The sequence below is a fragment of the Homo sapiens genome, chromosome 4, assembly GCF_000001405.40.
Source record: "Homo sapiens chromosome 4, GRCh38.p14 Primary Assembly".
Taxonomy (NCBI): domain Eukaryota; kingdom Metazoa; phylum Chordata; class Mammalia; order Primates; family Hominidae; genus Homo; species Homo sapiens.
In genome coordinates this window covers 38,298,734-38,317,928 of record NC_000004.12, presented here as the reverse complement: position 1 = coordinate 38,317,928, position 19,195 = coordinate 38,298,734, and the positions used below count along the sequence as shown (strand labels likewise).

The 19,195-nt window shown below is 41.2% G+C and overlaps 3 annotated features.

The window, feature by feature from the left end:
- Window positions 7,225–7,384: an enhancer, noted in NCBI's record as "active region_21431". NCBI's record gives its function as "activates an Ori minimal core promoter by ATAC-STARR-seq in GM12878 lymphoblastoid cells {active_cell/tissue: GM12878}" and the evidence as "EXISTENCE:reporter gene assay evidence [ECO:0000049][PMID:35858748]".
- Window positions 7,395–7,524: an enhancer, noted in NCBI's record as "active region_21430". NCBI's record gives its function as "activates an Ori minimal core promoter by ATAC-STARR-seq in GM12878 lymphoblastoid cells {active_cell/tissue: GM12878}" and the evidence as "EXISTENCE:reporter gene assay evidence [ECO:0000049][PMID:35858748]".
- Window positions 9,663–9,832: an enhancer, noted in NCBI's record as "experimental_79617 CRE fragment used in MPRA reporter constructs". NCBI's record gives its function as "activates a minimal promoter by MPRAs in K562 erythroleukemia cells, with activity observed for the introgressed 4:38309803 variant allele {active_cell/tissue: K562}" and the evidence as "EXISTENCE:reporter gene assay evidence [ECO:0000049][PMID:34662402]".

Here is a 19,195-nt window from a genome sequence, read left to right as displayed (position 1 = left end):
GCCTGGGTAACAGAGCCAGACTCTGTCTCAAAAAAAAAAAGACAAGACAGGAAAGGAATAAAAGAATAGCTACTCCGTAGACAGAGCAGCCCCAAGGGCTGCTGGTTGCCCATTTTTATGGTTATTTCTTGATGATATGCTAAACAAGGGATGGATTATTTATGCCTCCCCTTTCTAGAGCACATAGGGTAACTTCCTGATGTTGCCATGGCATTTGTAAACTGTCATGGTGCTGGTGGGACTGTAGCAGTGAGGATCCTACACTCATTGCCATCTTGATTTTGGTGGGTTTTAGCTGGCTTCTTTATTTACTGCAACCTGTTTTATCAGCAAGGTCCTTATGACCTGTGTCTTGTGCTGACACCCTATCTTATCCATTGACTTAGAATGTCTTAACTGCCTGGGAACACAGCCCAGTAGGTCTCAGCCTCATTTTACCCAGCCCCTATTCAAGATGGAGTTGCTCTGGTTCAAACGCTTCTGACACAATGGCTTCCAGTTGTACATGCACAACTGAAAACTCCACCATGAGGATGATGATAATGGTGATTTCAAAGTGTTTTCACAGTTGAGCCAGATAACAGCCTATGAGCACACAGAACAGGTGAATTAAGCTTGTGTCACAGATGAGGAATTGAGGAGCAGAAAGGTACAGGGTTGAGTCCAAGGCCACTCAGCTGGTTCCCTAGGAAGCCCAGACTAAGAGATCAAGGTCCTGTGAATGACGCTACATCATTGAATGCCCATTATAGCACTATGACCAGCAGGTTCTACAGGCCCTCGTTCATGCTAAACAAATAGACTATCACCATTATTAAAATAGGGTAATATGGCATTTAAAGCAAGCTACCTTTGGACACATTGCCTAGGATGTGTTTCCAATGCAAAAATGGGACTCTGGGCCCCTTTTCATGAATAGTACACTTTTTAAGTTAAAATTTTATTTGAGTGGGTCATTCACTTACATGACTCAAAAGTCAAAATTCTAAAATATAGTATACCTGAGAAGTATACTAGCTGCCACTTCTTTCCGTTAATCCAATCTTTCCTCTTCCTTTTCTCCCTTGTTGGTAAATCATTTTTATTACTTTTTTTTAACCCTACCTATGTTTCTTTATGAAAATACAAAGTACAAAATGTGTATTCTTATTCTTATTTCTTTGTAGTCTTACAATAAAGAGAGTGTATCTAGTGCGTTTTGAATTGGTTTTCTGGAAGTGGTGGTGGGCTTTGCTATACCATCCCCCTCTTACCTGGGAACCGCAGGGATTGTAGAATTGATCTCCAGACAGCTCAACTGTGACAGAGAACACAAGAGTTCTAGCCATGAAGGCTCCAGTTGGATCAGTTTGCCCCGTAAACCTAGGTCCCTCGTGAAACCAGAACCAGACATGGCTGTAGCCAAGGGAAGCCTGGGATTTTCTGCCAACCACTGACTGAGGCAGCCAGTCGATTCACAGGGAAAAGCTATCTAGAAGCTGCTCTGGACTTGAAAAGACAGATCAGACCAGCACAGATGGTCTCCCCACCCACCGATTATGGGTTTACCACAGTGGCTCATGCGGAGGAACTGGAGACAGACCTGGGGCCCTGCAGTCTCCATGCTGTTGACATGGCAGGTCCCAAGGAGAGGGCTGGGGGGTTGGGGGACAGTGTGCATTACAGAATCACTGTTGTCCCTGGTATTCATTTGCCAGGGCTGCCTTTAAACACAAACTGCGTGGCTTAAACAACAGACATTTATTGTCTCATGGTAATGGAGGCTAGAACTCTGAGATTCAAGTGTCTGCATGGTTGGTTTCTTCCAAGAGCTGTGAGGGGCACGTCTGTTCCAGCCTCTCTCCTTGGCTTGTAGACGGCCCTCTTCTCCCTGTTTCTCTTCACGTTGTCTTTCCTCTGTGTGTGTCTGTCTGTGACCAAATTCTCCATTTATACAAGGTCATCAGTTACACTGGGTTAGGGCCCACCCTATGGATCTCATTTTAACTCGATACTTCTGTAAAGACCCTATCTGCAAATAAAGTCACATTCTGAGATGCTGGGGGTTAGGATCCCAATATATCTTTCTTTTCTTTTCTTTTCTTTCTTTTTTTTTCTTTTTGATAGAGTTTCACTCTTGTCGCCCAGGCTAGAGCGCAGTGGTGCAATCTCGGCTCACTGCAACCTCCGCCTCCCAGTTTCAAGAGATTCTCCTGCCTCAGCCTCCCAAGTAGCTGGGATTACAGGTATGTGCTACTACGCCCAGCTAATTTTGTATTTTTAGTAGAGATGGGGTTTCACCATGTTGGCCAGGCTGGACTCGAACTCCTGACCTCAGATGGTCCACCCACCTCGGCCTCCCAAAGTGCTGGGATTACAAGCAAGGAGACCTAATCCAGCTCATATCATTCCTTTTCAGACCCACAGTCATCCTCTCCCGAAGCGCTGGCCTCACATCCCCATTCCACCGTTGAGAAAAAAACCACAGAGAGCCTGGGGAAGTGTTGTATTCCTTGAGTATATTGTGGAAGGAGGGAGGCAGTGTAAAACCTCTGCTTTAAAATGTGTTGCATATATTCTCTCTATACTAAATATAATATGGTTCTCATTATGGAGAGTAGGCTCTGTCATTTTCAACAAATCCTTTCTTTGTCTTTATTAAGTCGAAGGCAGGAAAAAAATCCCCCCAACTATTGTGCTATAGACAAAGCTCTCCTCACCAGCCTCTCTCCTCACGCACAGCCCTGACCATTGGAGCTGAGACCCCAATGCCCAGATCTTCAAAATCACATACTCCTTTTACTCTGAAGTAAGATTTTTCTTTATCTTACATTTTCAAATATATACTAAGCCGAAAGATAGATCACTCCCTATAGCTGGGCTTTTGGTGGTGTTGATCATTTTAGCTTTGTTTCTGTTAAATCCAGCCTGACATCTTTGCTGAGATGCTGTGACAAACACTTTGGACCCATGACTTGGCACAACTGGGTGTGGCTTGGCCTGCCGCCCATCAGGCAGGTGAAAACAGCCCAGCTCAGTTCGAACATGCTCCAGGGATTCGGCACCTGGAAATCCCCACAAAGCTAATTCCATTCCAGATCTTTCTCAACACCCAGAGGAGGGAGCACAAGGCCCAATTGTCCTTACAACTTTCCCTGCCCACAATTCTATATTCTGGGGAGGTCACGGGGACAGGGGGTGAGGAGGACCGTATATTAATGAGTGTGGGTTCTTAAGTCATAAAGTAGATTTGATGCCTTAACAGAGCCAGGGACCAAACATCCCCACCCCTGTAATTCGGAGGGAGGACACTGGGTAACCCTAGCCTACATCAAGCCCCTCCACCAGGCTTAGCTCAAGAAAAATTTTTCACAGGGCTGTTGCCTTTGTGATTTGAATCCCTTGTTGTTTCCCATCCTTCTTGTTTTCTTGGGTTCCATCCTTATTTTCCACGTGTCTTGGGCTCCATCCAATGCTGAGTAATGAGTCAGAGTCAGAAGCTTTAAGGAGTTAAACCACCGCTCCAAAGAGGGGAGTAACTTACAGCTCCAGGCACCAGGTGGTGGGGCCCCTTCCTGACCCACAGTTTGTGGCCTCAAGGTGCCCATAGGAGCAGTTGGGTGTAGCCAGGGTGGGGTGATTCATTCTATTTTTCCAGCCTCACCTCCCTCTCTGGTCTTCCTGGGGGAAGTCACTTACTTCACACAAGACGTGACAGCCCATAGGGCGTGGCTGTCCTTCCTTCCCTCCTCCCTGTCCCATCCTACCCCACCCCAGGTTCATCTTTGGAAGGATTACAGTCCAAAGTGCCTTGGGGCAAAGGAAATGTCTGAAACTGGGATGGGTGTGACAGTGTTTCTCCTTGCATGACCTTGGTCTGTGACACATTCACTGTACACCCTGCTGGCCCCAACTGCTGGTGGGTGGATGCCTGGGCTGGTCTGGAAATAAAACGGGCCTGAAAGAAGGGCTTGAGTGAGGTGCCAGGCACTGGAGTGAGCTCCCAACATGCTTTGTGCAACAGGATAGCAAGATGAAGACAGTAACAACCACCAGCATTTGCTGATTACCTTCCCTGTGCCAGGCACTGTTCAATTTAAGCCTCCCCATAATCCTATGTGGTAGATCCTGTTACTATTCCCATTTTCCAATGAGGAAACTGTGCCACAGTGAAATCCAAAATCACGCCATTAATACAAGGTGGAGCCAAAATTCTAACCTGGCTCTGGAGTCTGGCTCTGGAGTTTACACTCTTAGCTTTGTATTAACAAAAACATGGGTATTATTGTCCCCATTTTACAAAGGAGCAAAATCAAGTGCCTTGCCCAGTTCCACACTGCCAGGGAGAAACAGTTGGGCCAGGCACCCAGGAGTCTGACTCTTGTCCACTGCCGAGCTGCAGGGTGGGGAAGCTGGGGAGGCATGCTAAGAGTCAGGATGTAATTGCATCCTGCGTGCCCTTCTCCACTCCAATTTCTACCCTCCTCCTGAAGCTCTGAGCTCTCCTTTCAGGTAACAGGAAGCTACAAGAAAAAGAGCCAGCTAGGGAGTGAACAGGTGAAGAAATCAGAAACCTGCACCTGCCAATCCAGGAGTCAGTCCAACACGCCTTATGGAACTGACACCTGCCCGCCCAGGTGAAGAGTCCAGGTGCCTTGGGCAAAGGGAGGTGAACGTTAGAGGAAGTTAGTTTCCAGAAACATGAATGTGGAGTAGAAGAGAAAATAAACAGGGCCAAGCAAGACATGATGAAATAGGTTGGAAATCAGAGACCCTTTTAGTTGAAAAGAACTACAGAAGATAATGAGTCTAAACCAAATCTCTTGTTTTATTAATAATGACAGCTAACATTGACTGGTCACTTATCACATGCCAGGCATGGTGACAAGTGTTTTCCTTGTACCTAGAGCAATCCTATGAGGCAGATGCTATTTTTTTTTTCCTTCATGAGGGAGCTGAATTAGAGGTTAATTGGGCCAATAAGAGTAGATCCAAGCAGTCTTCCTCACTCCAAAGCCCACATTCTTTCATACCTTTAACCTTTTATGATGGAACATTTTAAACATACACAAAATTAGAGAGAATATTATAATGAGAGAATATTATAATTAGAGAGGATATATCATAAGTCCATTGACCAGTTGCAAAAATTATCGACACAAGACAGATCTTATTACATCATCGCTCTCCCTATCTGTCTTCTATTACTAAATTATTTTGAAGTAAATGGCACACATACTATTTCTGTATCATATTATTCTGTTATTATCCATACATACTTTAGTATGTATCTCCAAGAAGAACTTTCACAATGGCACTACCAGTGTTACTTCCAAAGAAAATAACAGTAATTTTTCAAGTCATCAAACATCCAAACCCTTTCAAATGTCTCAGATTTCCTGTAAATGTATTTCTACAGTTGCTTTGTTTGCATTGGAAGAAAAAGCAGTTCACACATTGCATTTGATCAACTCTCTTAAATCTCTATCAGCTATATAGGCCTCCTTGTCTCCCTGACATTCTCTTGTTAAAGAAAGAGAGTGATTTGCCCTGTAAATTTCTCACCTTTTAGATTTTGCTGATTATATCACTGTGGTGTCATTTAACATGTTCCTCCATTCCCTGTATTTTCTGTAAACTGGTAGTTAGATCTAGTGGTCTGATTAGAATCACATTGAATTGTTTGGCAAAGATACCTCATAAGCAAGACACAATCAAGGACCCTAAGCTTAAGATTACTTCTTTCTAGAAGATGAAGTCTCTGTTCCAAGCTCACAAAGCTAATAAAGGACAGAACAAGGCCTGGAATTCAATATTCTGCCTCTAGGTTCCTGTCCTTCCTCCCCATCACAGGATTTGAATCTAGTCTCTCCTCCTTGGAATGGAAGGTTGTCATTAAATCTTCTACCTCCATTATGACAGAAGGAGCAAGAGAGGAGCAGTGGGAAGGTTCAAACCTTCCTCTGACATACGGCAATATTTTTATTTTAAACAGATGCTGTGGGGAGAAGTCTCCTCAAGCCTGGGTGGGGCTATGCACAGTCTGCTTTTGCCAGAGGACTGGAAGCACTTAACACAGAACTCTGGCACAGAGCATCATTCTTGTTCCCCCTCTCTCCTTTTAAACACTGAGAACCAATTTACCTGAGTGAGTGCCGAAAGGAACATTTCATCCCTTTGCCTTACTCATTTTAATCGGAGGGAATGAGGTGTGTGTTCTTGCTCGCTGGCGGTGCTAGACGCCCGAGGAGATGCATGGAATTCCTCTTGGGTGAATAGGAAATAGAAAAGGAATAGCTAACGAAGGTGGCAACTATTCTGTGCCCTTTAGAAGTAAGTGCTTCCTCCTCCCTTCCTGCTACACTCAGCATGCAAACCCCAGAACCAAGACTGTATAACACAGGTAAATGGAAATATTCCCATCACAAGAGGAAGAAACCCACTCCCTACCCAAAACAAGGGGTAGGAGGCAAAGGTGGCTCAAATGCACAATAACAGTGAGAGCCCACCTTTATGGAATACTTAAAACACACCAAATACTTTATGCACAGTGACTCATTTAGTCCTCAAAACAACCCTGAAAAGTGGAAAGCAGGTGCTTCTATTTCCTGAATCTGCAGATAAGGAGGAATGTGAGATCACACAGATATTATTTTAGTGAAGGCAGAATTCTAATCCAGGCTTTTCTCATTTAGCGTCTGTAGCTTCACCATTAGGCTACAAAATTAGCTAAATTAAGATACTTATTTGGGAGCGGATAGCAATTTAGAAGGGAAATTTTGTTGGGTTTAGGAGTGGCTCAAGTAATACACCTTGGGATTCCTGGCCTTTGAGGACTATCATCTTCCATCTTACCGTAGGTCTCCAAAATCCATTAAGCACATTTCACAGGTGCAGGGACAGAAAGTTTCCACAAGGAATTGACTCTGGAGAAGCAACAGTTAAGCACTCTCTAGCTGTCTTCCTGTCAGATCAAGGCTTCTCACTCAAAGGAATGTCAGGAACCTATGTGGCACACACAGCCTTTGTGTGAATTCGAAAGTAGCACCTCTCCTGGGTAGATGAGTGGCAAAAATCTGCTCTTTCTGGGAGGATCCTTCTGGAAGGGTAATATCCACACTAAGCTTCACTGCTTGGCAGGGGTTGGGCCAGATTTCAGCCCCTTTCATACCCCTGCAGCCAGGTTCAAGAGTGCAGCAGAGCCCTGGTAAGCCAAGCTCCCTTTCCAAGCCAGGACTCTGCACCTGTTAAGCCCAAGTCACTCTTGCTGAGCTGTTACCATCTTTGGTGGTTGTTTCACGTGATTGTGGTCTCCTGTCAGCTCATGAGAGGGCAGAACCCAATTACTAGATTACTCAGAGTGCTGGTTTTCTTTTTCTTTCTTTTTTTTCTTTTTTCACCGCACTCAAGGCTGTGGCAGCCAAAATTTCCCTCCATCTCCCTGGTTTGACTCAACGAAGCTAGGCTGACATTGCTGTACATAGACTGCTAGGAGACTGTGACCATACTACACCATTTTTTCAATAGCGCTGACCAATTTCAATGGCTTGATTTTGTCATCGGATTGTATAAAAGAGCATGAAAAATAATTGGCAGTGGATAAACATTTTTCAGTCCACACTAAAAACGTAAATGTGAATCGATTACAAACCATGGGGAAATAAATTTGGTCAAAACTTAGTCATTTCGCTTTTGGAAATTTGTAGTAAAGAAATAATGCTAAATGTAGAAGAAAAACAAAAACCTCTGTCCACAAAGATAGTCACTACTGCGTTATTTGTATTAATACTAGGGAAAGTTGGAAATTAGCTGTCTTTATGGGAGAGCTTGTAGGTTAGGTAAATTATGGTATTTACCACATAATAGAGTTTTACAGCATTTTTGGAATTTGTGTTTCTGAAATGTTTGTTGGAACATATATAATGTGTATGTTGTTACAAGAAAAAATGTCAGGAAGCAAATAAATGTAAATTATAATCACAACTGTGTCAATAATGCTTAGAAAAATTTAGAAAGAGGACACACTAAAGCAGTCTTATTAAACCTAATGAAAATAACTACTATTTGTTGAGTTTTTGCTGTGTGTGAGGTACTGTGCTCAGTGTTTTTACATACATTAATTCAGTTTATCCTTCTATTAACAACTTGTGGTAAGTACAATTATTATGATTCCCATTTTATAGATGAAGGAATTGTTGCAGAGCTAAGTTAAATAACTTGCCCAAGTCATGTAGCAGAAAATGTAAAAGCTGGAAGATGAATCCAGGAAGCCTCAACAGCCACGCCTCCTAGCTGTTTGTCAGCTAGTTGAAAAATAGAACAAAAGATAATATGGAGAGATATCATTAAAAATATTACATAGAACAGGTTGAGCCTAGAATATGATGGGGTAGTGTTACAAGTACCCAATAACTAAATGGAGGAAGTTCTGTTTACCCAGGTAAAGATAATACAGTTCAAGCATCAATAACTGCAGTAGACTGAAGCACATCAATATTTGTGAAGTTACAGGTTTAAAATTACTCAGGAAAAAAACCCTCATCGGACACGTTTAGAGAAGCTAGGAAATAGCTCATTTCGCTGAAAACTGGTAAATAGAAAATAACCAAGCATTTTTCCTGCTTTTACTGTGCAAAATTTAGGGTAACTAAAGAGTTGATGAGGACAAATTTCCTTTAATGGAAATATTCCACATAACGAACGAAGCAGGAATAGTAGAATAGCATCCCCATAAAATAAAGGATCAGGCAAGAGATATTAACATTACAGAAACAGACATAACCAGACGGTATGTACTCCTGGTGGGATTATCACACCACTGCCTATGACACTGCCTATGACTAATGACAAAAAAATCAAAACCTGAGTCAGATTGTACCTCTATTTATGCCTCCCAATTTATAAGAAATGCAGGAGAGAGACAGAGAAATGGTTTAAATGACATCAAAGGAGACAAAAATCAGCAAAATTCAGAGTGTGGAACACTTGGTAGGACAAAGGACCTGTTTTCTCTCGACTTTGAAGGGGGAAAAGGGAGGGGAGGGGACATGTAGATGAAAACAGAACAACTACAGTGATCTTACTTGGATTCTATTTGGGGAGAAAATCCCTCAAAACGTTTTTGAGACAGTCAGAGAAACTGAAATGCTGTCTGGATATTTGATTAAATTCAGGAATTTTTCTCTTTTTTAAGGTGTGATGGTGATGTTGTAGCTATGGCTATGGCTATGCTTTTTAAAAGAAGTCCTTGTCATCGCTTCTTGGTCTTTTGACTAAGATCAAGTGTAATAAAAAGAAGTCCTTGTCTTTTAGAGATGCATTCTGGAATATTTATGGATGAGAATATATGATTTCTTATATTTGTTTTAATATATTTCAAGAGCCAGGAGGAGGTGAATGAGGAGAGATACAATAAAAGATTGGCCATGAGTTGATAATTGCTGAGGTTGAGTAGTGGGTAAGTGGGGTCTCATCACGCTCTCCTCTCTACTTTTATACAGGCTTCAGGATTTCCAAAATAATTTGTTTTTAAAGATACAAACATATATCAATTGAGTTTTTACTCAAAAATTTAAAAGATTGCTGTAGAATCAAAGGCTAGTATAAGGCAATGGCTGAAGTCATGGACTAAGGACCAGGTTGCCTGTGTTTAAATGTCTGCTCTATTACTTACCAGCTGGGTAATCCAGGGTAAGAAACTTCATGTTGCTGCACCTCAGTTTCCTCCTTTGTAAAATGGGATAACAATACCACTTACTTTCTACTTCATAGAGTAATTATGACAATATTATTTATGACAATAAAATGAATAATATTTCTCCAGGGCCTGGAACAGTCCACGGCACATATTAAACATTGCATGGATTTACAGTTTTATTGTTGTTGGGTTTTTATTTTTGTTTCGTTATTTTGTTTTTGGGAGCATCTTCGCTCATTTTGTATTTCATACCTAACAATTCAGTCTCACATCCTTAATGCATCAACTACAATTTTCTAGTTTCTTTAGAATGTAGCAAGAACTTAAAGATACTCTTGAAGCAATCTGAGGACAAATCTTCTAGATTTTAATGATTTGTTCTCAATCTTTTATAGTTGCATGTCCATACCTAATCTGACAGCATTTGGTGATGGTGGGGAGAATGTTCTTTGCTATATTTTCATCCATTTACATAATTCCTAATTACATATTTTTTTCACTGCAAACTTTATAAACACATCTGGGAACAAACAAAACTGACTCCTGGTAAGTAGACCATGCAACTGGTGGGAGATGTGTTTAGATGCACTGTGAGAATGCCAGTGTCACATCTTGAGCCTACTGAGGACTTTGCAGATAGAATAGAGGTTGTATCCATTAATCTAGTGGTTTCCTTAAGTGGAGATGAGTTAAGGGACTCTATTGTATACAAGTCAACAATGATTGTGTTTGGGTTGCATAGTCTTCCTTCTCATCTTTTTTTTTTTTTTTTTTCTGGCAGGGTCTTTCTCTGTCACCGAGGCTGGAGTGCAGTGATGCAATCATGGCTCATTGCAACCTCAAACTCCTGGGCTCAAGAGATCCTCCTGCCTCAGCCTCCCAAGTAGCTGGGACTACAGGTGCCTGCCACAACACCCACTTGATTTCTAAATTTTTTGTAGAGACAGTCTCTCCATGTTGCCCAGGCCTCCCAGAGAGCTGAGATTACAGGCGCGAGCCACTGCACCCGGCCCTATTCCAATTTTTTAAAAATGATGAACATGTATTATGGCTCTTACCTGACAAAGAAAAAAAATCAACACTTCATTTTTTGGAAAGTATTTTTTTAGTAAATCCATTTCCAGAAGACTAGAATGCAAACACAAAGAAAATGAGCAGTGAATATTGTTAATTCATGCACCCTTGTATCCAAACAATGGGTTGCTAGATTCTACAGAACACTAGGATCTGAGCATCAGCAGTCATTGTTGTTACTTGATGAAAGGACAATGTATTATTGATTGCTGCTATTATAAGGCACAATTTCCTAAATGCTACAGAAGTCAGAGGGGAATCCAGCTTTATACTAAGAAGGTTCACATACTCTAATATTCACATTCTAGTTTCATTTTGACTCTAAAATTGCACAGAAACCAAATGAGCAAATCTGCATTTCCTCCTAAATCTATATGCAAACGGTGAGGCAGGGATTCCCCTTGTAGTTGGCATTCGTTAGCAGAAAGGATTCTGGACAACCTCAAGCTCAAACTGCCTTAGCACCAATCCAATCTAGCTGAATTGGACACTTCCTGTGCTTTGCCAAATTTCACAGATCTCATTGCAAGCTCACTCCTCTGTAACATATCATTGTTACTTTGCTTTCTGATCAACTCTTAATTCTCACAGTCTTCCTTGATCAAGAGAGAGGAAGTGAGAGAGGTGTGCAGTTATTGCTGCATTGATTGTCATCACTTGACAGATGGAGAAGCCAAGGTTACAAGCCACGTTTTTTTTAATCACAATGGAGCATGCCATATCTCTCCTCTGTCTCAGAAATTTGATCATAGGACACTTCATGGGGTGTTTTTTCTTTTCTTTTTAACATTTTTTGAGATGGAGTCTCACTCTGTCGCCCAGGCTGGAATGCAGTGGTGTGATCTCGGCTCGCTGCAACCTCCACCTCCTGGGTTCCAGCGATTCTCCTGCCTCAGACTCCCAAGTAGCTGGGATTATAGGAATGTGCCACCATGTCTGGCTAATTTTTGTGTTTTTAGTAGAGACAGGGTTTCACCATGTTGCCCAGGCTGGTCTCGAACTCCTGACCTCAAAGTGATCCACCTGCCTCAGCCTTCCAAAGGCTTGAGTGTTGGTATTACAGGCATGAGCCACTGCACCTGGCCCATGAGGTGTATTTTCAAGCAAACTATATGTATGAAGCTCATTTCATCACAGGGACAATGGCAGGAGAGTGTAAGAATGCGAGTACAAAGCCTTGGCTAGGCCCCACCTTCTGGTCTTGTCCCTCAGCCCTTCACTACATGCTTTCAGAAGTCTCAGCCTGAAGTCCTTTCAAAAGAGTCCCCCCACTTAAAAAATTGTGCAGAAGAGGCCAGGGGTGGTGGCTCACGCCTGTAATCCCAGCACTTTGGGAGGCCGAGGCGGGTGGATCATGAGGTCAGGAGATCAAGACCAACCTGGCTAACACGGTGAAACCCCATCTCTAATAAAAATACAAAAACCAGATTAGCTGAGTGCGGTGTCAGGTGCCTGTAGTCCCAGCTACTTGGGAGGCTGAGGCAGGAGAATGGTGTGAACCTGGGAGGCAGAGCTTGCAGTGAGCCAAGATCGTGCCACTGCACTCCAGCCTGGGTGACAGAGTGAGACTCTGTCTCAAAAAAAAAAAAAAAATTGTGCAGAACAACCAAACCGAAAGCCTGAGAACCGTGTTCCCAGGCTCCTTAAATGTAATGATGTCCCTCATACTAGTACATTTGCGTCCGGAATTGGTGGGTTCTTGGTCTCACTGACTTCAAGAATGAAGCCATGGACCCTCGCGGTGAGTGTTACAGTTCTTAAAGATGGTGTGTCCAGAGTTTGTTCATTCTGATGTTCGGACATGTTCGGAGTTTCTTCCTTCTGGTGGGTTTGTGGTCTTGCTGGCTTCAGGAGTGAAGCTGCAGACCTTCGCAGTGAGTGTTACAGCGCTTAAGGCAGCACCTCTGGAGTTGTTCATTCCTCCCGTCCAGAGTTGTTCATTCCTCCCGGTGGGTTCCTGGTCTCACTGGCCTCAGGAGTGAAGCTGCAGACCTTCGCAGTGAGTGTTACAGCTCATAAAGGCAATGCGGACCCAAAGAGTGAACAGCAGCAAGATTTATTGCAAAGAGCGAAAGAACAAAGCTTCCACAGTGTGGAAGGGGACCCGAGTGGGTTGCCACTGCTGGCTTGGGCAGCCTGCTTTTATTCTCTTATCTGGGCCTACCCACATCCTGCTGATTGGTCCATTTTACAGAGAGCTGATTGGTCTGTTTTGACAGGGTACTGATTGGTGCATTTACAATCCCTGAGCTAGACACAAAAGTTCTCCAAGTCCCCACTGGATTAGCTAGACACAGAGCACTGATGGGTGCGTTTACAAACTTTGAGCTAGACACAGGGTGCTGATTGGTGTGTTTACAAACCTTGAGCTAGACACAGAGTGCTGATTGGTGTATTTACAATCCCTTAGCTAGACATAAAGGTTCTCCAAGTCTCCACTAGACTTAGGAGCCCAGCTGGCTTCACCTACTGGATCCCACACCAGGTCCGCAGGCGGAGCTGCCCGCCAGTCCCACACCATGCGCCCGCACATTCACAGACCATCCCATCCTATTCACATTTAACCTGAGGAATGTGTTTCCTAATTACATCAAAGTTCCACAGGACAGCAAGATCAAACAGAGAATAAAAAACATAATGGAATATACAGCAGCTCCTTCTGAAGAAACTTCCTCAGTCAACACATCTCCTAAAACTTGCTCCCCTCATTCTTTTGTCAGCAGATCACTCTTTTATGAACTGAAAACCCATTGGCATTATTCATACTAACTCTAAACCACAAATTTTGGGGGATGGGTTCTCTATTGACATATAATTGACAAAATAAAAATTGTATATATTTAAGATGGACAATGTAATGTCTTGATATACATGTATATTGTGAAATGATTACCACAAGCTGATTAACATATCCATCATCTCATATAAGTTACCATTTTTTTGTATGTGGTGAGAATATTTAAGAGCTATTCTCTTAGCAAATTGCATGTATATTCTACAGTAATATTAACTATAATCACCATGCTGTATATAATATCTCTAGAACTTATTCATCCTGCATAACTGAAACCTTTTACCCTTTGCCAAACATCCCCCCATTTCCCTCCCTCTCCACCCTCCAGACCTTGGAAATCACCATTCTAATCTCTATTTTATGAATTTGACTTTTAGAATCCACATGTAATTGAGATTGATGGCAACAGTGGGCCATCTGGAGCAACCGCTGCCATCACACTGGCTGCAGCAGGGAGGTGCAGCAGGGGGCTGCATGCTCCACAGAGTGGGCAGGAGCCAGGGATAAGTGGGAGCCCCATCCCTTTCAAGTTGGGGCAGGAGTTCTCTGGGAGCCACTGCAGCCACCCAAGATATGGCTGTGAACCCAGGCATCCCTGTGCTCTCATGGTCCAGGAGCAGGCGGGAGTCCCACTCTTTCAGGTGCAGCTGCAGCCGTTCAAACTGCAGCTGCAGACCTGGACCTCCTGCTCCATGGAGCAGGCAGGAGCCCTGCCCCTGGCACAGTTGCAGCTGCCCAAATTTCAGTAGTGGACCCAGGCATCCCTGTACTCTTGGGGGCCCAGGAAGGACCCACACCCCACCTTCACAGGCTTATAAATGCCTGCTTCCACTGCCTAGCTTCTCCTTGCTGTCAGTGCCCACTGTGATCTTGGAACAAAGTTGAGACTGAGCCCAGGCACTGTCACAGCCCAGCCAGGTGTGCAAACACTCAGGGCAGTGCTGACACACCAGCCCCCTGCCACCTTGGCCCCCTCCAGGTTTGGGGGGTCTGTGAGCATAGTAAGGAAACTATAGGGGGAGCTGAGGGCAGGGAGGGCCTGAAGGCTGGGGCCAAGCTGCCAGTCCCATGGACCAGAGTGGGAACTTGTGGTGCCTTTTCCAGGACTGCCCATGGCCACCCATGGACCAGTTGGCCTGCACTTCCTCCCCTCTAAGGCCCATAAAAGCCCCAGGCTCAGCCAGAGCTGAGCAGACTTCAGGATGGCTGGCTGCAGAAAGGAGCTACCAACCCCAGGGCCTCTTCTCTGCTGAGAGCAGGAGATAGAGGATGACTGGCTGCAGAGATGAGCTACCCACTCCAGAGCCTCCTCTCTGCTGAGAGCTACAGATGACAGGACAACCCGCTGCAGAGAGGAGCTACCCTTTCTTTTGAGAGCTGGAACAGACAATGGGGCAACCAGCTGCAGAGAGGAGCTACCCTCCCTGCTGGGAGCGAACACTTGTTGAGACAACTTGCCTAGCAGAGAGGAGCTACCCCTGAATGTAAAACAAAGGTTTAAATAAATAAATAAAGCAGCTGATTTTTGTATCCTGCAACTTTATAAAGTTTATTAGTTCTAATAGAGTTTTTGGTACAGTTTTCTACATATAAGATTATTCCATCTCCAGAGACAATTTTATTTCTTCCTTTCCTATTAATATTTGGATGCCTTTTGTTTCATTTTTGTGCCTGAATGTTCTGGCTAGGACTGCCAGTACTATATTCAATACAAGTGGCAAGTGTGGGCCTTGTTTTCATCTTCCTGATCTTACAGGAAAAGCTTTCAGCTTTTCACCATTGATTCTGATGTTAGTTTTGGGCTTGTCATATATACCCTTTATTATGTTGAGTTAATTCCTACTATGCCTAATTTGTTGTGAGTTTTTATAATAAAAAGATGGTGAATCTTATCAAATGTTTTATCTGCATCTATCGAGATGATCACATAATTTTTATTCTGCATTCTGTTACTGCAATGCACCACATTTGTTGATTTGTATATAATGTACTATCTTTGTGATGGGGTTCAGGACATGCTACTCAACAATATGGCATCTTGACATTTTGAATATTTAAGCTGAAAGAATTTGAGAAACAGCTTGTGTAGGAAGGTCTCTCTGACTCTCTCCCATCCTTCTCCCCTGAAGCAAGCTATAAAACCTAGAAAAGATTTTCTGACTTTCCCCTGAAGTAGGTAATAAGACCCTCATGTGAGAGATGCCCTCTCTTTATCTGGAGGAAAGAAATATCCTTATCTTCATTTGTCACGGAGAAGAATCTGAACAAGCAGGCCTTACTAAGTTTCCTCTAGTTTGTTACCATTAGATCTTACCTCTTTTGCCCTATATTTTTCAATGACTATCCACTCTTCATCAAACATAGCAAAAATATACAAAGGTTTAACTGTTTCTTCAGATCTCCATTTCCTTATGAAGCCTCCCATGTCAGATAAAACATACATTAAATAAATGGGTGTGCTTTTCTCTTGTTAATCTTTCTTTCGTTGTGGGGACATAAGCAATGAAATTAGGGGAGAAGAAGGAAGAGATATTATTCTTCCCCTATACTTGCATCCTAGGGATAAAGGTATATGAACCTTTTAATGTGTTTGCTAGTATTTTGGTGGGGATTCACACATCTATGTTCATTGTGGATATTGGCGTATAATTTTCTTTTCTTGTAGTGTCCTTGTCTGTCTTTGATATCAGGGTAATGCTGGCCTCATAAAATGGGTTTGAAAGTGTTCCCTCCTCTTCAATTTTTTGGGAGGATTTGAGAAGGATTGGCATTAATTTTTTTTTTTTTTTTTTTTGCCAGAGAGTCTGAATATATTTGTATGGCATTAATTCTTTTTCATATGTTTGGTAGAATTTACCAGTGAAGACAACAAGTCCTAGGCTTTTCTTTCTTGGGAGCTTTTGATTACTGATACAATCTCCTTACTCATCATTGTTCTGTTCATATTTTTTATTTCTATATAATTCAGTCTTGGTAAGTTATATGTTTCTAAGAATTTATTTATTTTAGAGTATCCAAATTGTTGGCATATAGTTGTTGGTGGTAGGTTTTTTTTTTTAATGATTCTGTGTGTTTCTGTGGTTTCAGTTGTAATGCCTTATTTTTCATCTATAATTGTTTTTATTTGATTCTTCTCTTTTTTTCCTAGTAAGTCTAGCTGAAGGTCTGTAAATTTTGTTTATCTTTAAAAGAACACAAAACTCCTAGTTTTATTGATCTATTTTATTGTTTTTCTGGTCTCTAGTTCATTTATTTTTTTATCTGATCTTTATTCTTTCTTTTTTCTTAATGTAGACATTTATTACTATTAACTTCCCACTTGGAACTTCTTTTGCTGCATCTAATAACTTTTGGTATGTTATGTTTCTATATTTGTTGGTCTCAAGATATTTTTAAATTTCCTTTTTGGTTACTTCTTTGATTCATTGGTTGTTTAAGAGTGTGTTGTTTAATTTTCACATATTTATGAATTTTCCAATTTTCCTCATGTTATTGATTACTTGTTCATACCCTTGTGGCTGAAAAAGATACTCGATATGATTTTAATCTTATTACATTTGTTAAGACTTGTTTTGTGGGCCAACATAAAAACTATCTTGGTGAATATTCCGTTGCTATTGGATGGAATCTTCTGTGTATATCTGCTAGGTCCCTTTGATCTATAGGGTTGTTCAAGTCCACTGTTTGTTTATTGATTTTCTATCTGGATGATCTATCCATTATTGAAAGTGAAGTAGAAATCCCCTACAACTATGTATTACTGTCTATCTCTTCCTAAGTTCTGTTAATATTTACTTTGTATATTTAGGTTCTCCAATGTTGGATGCATATATATTTACAATCGTTGTATCTTCTTGATGAATTGACCTCTTTGTCATTTTGTCTCTTGTGACACATTTGACTTAAAGGCTATTTTGCCTGATGTAAGTATAGCCACCCTGCTCTCTTCTGGTCGCTGTTTGCATGAAATATTCTTTTCCATCCCATTACTTTCAGCCTATATGTGTTCTTAAAGCCAAAGTGAGTTTCTTGTAGGCAGTGTATAGTTGGAACCTGTTTTTTCTTTTTCTTAATCCGTCCAGCCACTGTATGTCTTTTGATTGGAGAACTTAATTTATTTACATTTAAAGTAATTGTTAATACATAAGGACTTACTATTGCCATTTTGTTAATTCCTTTATGATTGTTTTGTAGTTTCTTTGTTGCTTTCTTCCTGTCTTGCTGTCTTCCCTTGTGATTTGAGAAAATTTTGTAGTGATATGCTTTGATTCCTTTTCTTTATTTTTTTGCACATCTATTACAGATTTTATCTTTACGGTTATCATGATGCTTGCATAAAATATCTTATAGTCACAACAGTCTTTTTAAAGTTGATAACAACTTAACTTTTACTGCATACAAGAACTCTCTACACTCTAACTTCTCTTCCTACACTTTGTTTTTGAAGTCACAATTTACATCTTTGATATTTATGTATTCATCAATACATTATTGCAGCTTTTGTTATTTTTAATACTTTTGCTTTTTAACTTTTATACTAGAGTTAAAAGTGATTTACATACCACCTATATGATATTAGAATATTCTGGATTTGACTTTTTTTTTGTTTTTTTACCTTTACAGTGTTTTATTCTTTCATATTTTTCCTGGTGATAGTCTCCTTTTATTTTAACTTGAAGAATTCTCTGTAGCTTTTCCTGTAAAGTAGGTGTAGTAATAATAAACTCCTTCAGGTGTTTTTGTTGTTGTTGTTGTTGTTGGTATAGGAAAGTCTTTATCTCTTTTTTATTGCTGAAGGATAGCTTTGCTAGATATAGTATTCTTGATTGACAGCTTTTTTGTTCTTTTAGGACTTTGAGTATATATCCCCCTTTCTCCTGGCTTGCAAGGTTTCTGCTGATAGTTGTGTGTGGCTTCTTTTGTATGTAACAAGTTGCTTTTCTCCTGGTGCTTTCAAAATTCTCTCCTTGTCTTTGACTTTTGAGAATTTAATTATAATGTGTCTTGGTGAAGATCTCTTTCTGCTTAATTTACTTGGGGTTCTTTGGGCTTCATGGATTTGTAGGTTCGTTTTCTTCTCCAGATTTGAGAAGTTTTCTATCATTACTTCTTTAAATAAGCTTTCTTCCCCTTTCTCTTTCTCTGCTTCTTTTTTTGACTACCATAATGTGTTTATTGATTTACTTGGCAGTGTCCCATAAGTCCTATAGACTTTCTTCACACATCTTTATTCTTTTTCTTTTTGTTCCTTTGACTACATAATTTCTAATGAACTCCTTTACAGGTCACTAATTCTTTCTTCTGCTTAACTGAGTCTGCTGTTGAAGCTGTCTATGAAATTTGTTAATTCAGTCATTGTATTCTTCAGTTCCAGGATTTTTGTTTGGTACTTTAAAAAATGATTTCTATCTTTTTGTTGAACTTTTCATTATGTACATATATTGTTTTTCTGATTTTGTTTACCTATTTATTTGTGTTCCCTTATAGCTCACTAAGCTTTTAAAAAATAAATATTTTGCAATCTTTGTCAGGCAGTTTGTAGTTCTACATCACTGGTGCTTTACTTTGTTCCTTTAGTGGTGTCATGTTTCCCTGATAATCCATGATCCTTATGGCCTTGTATTGGTGTCTATGTATTTGAAGAAATAGGC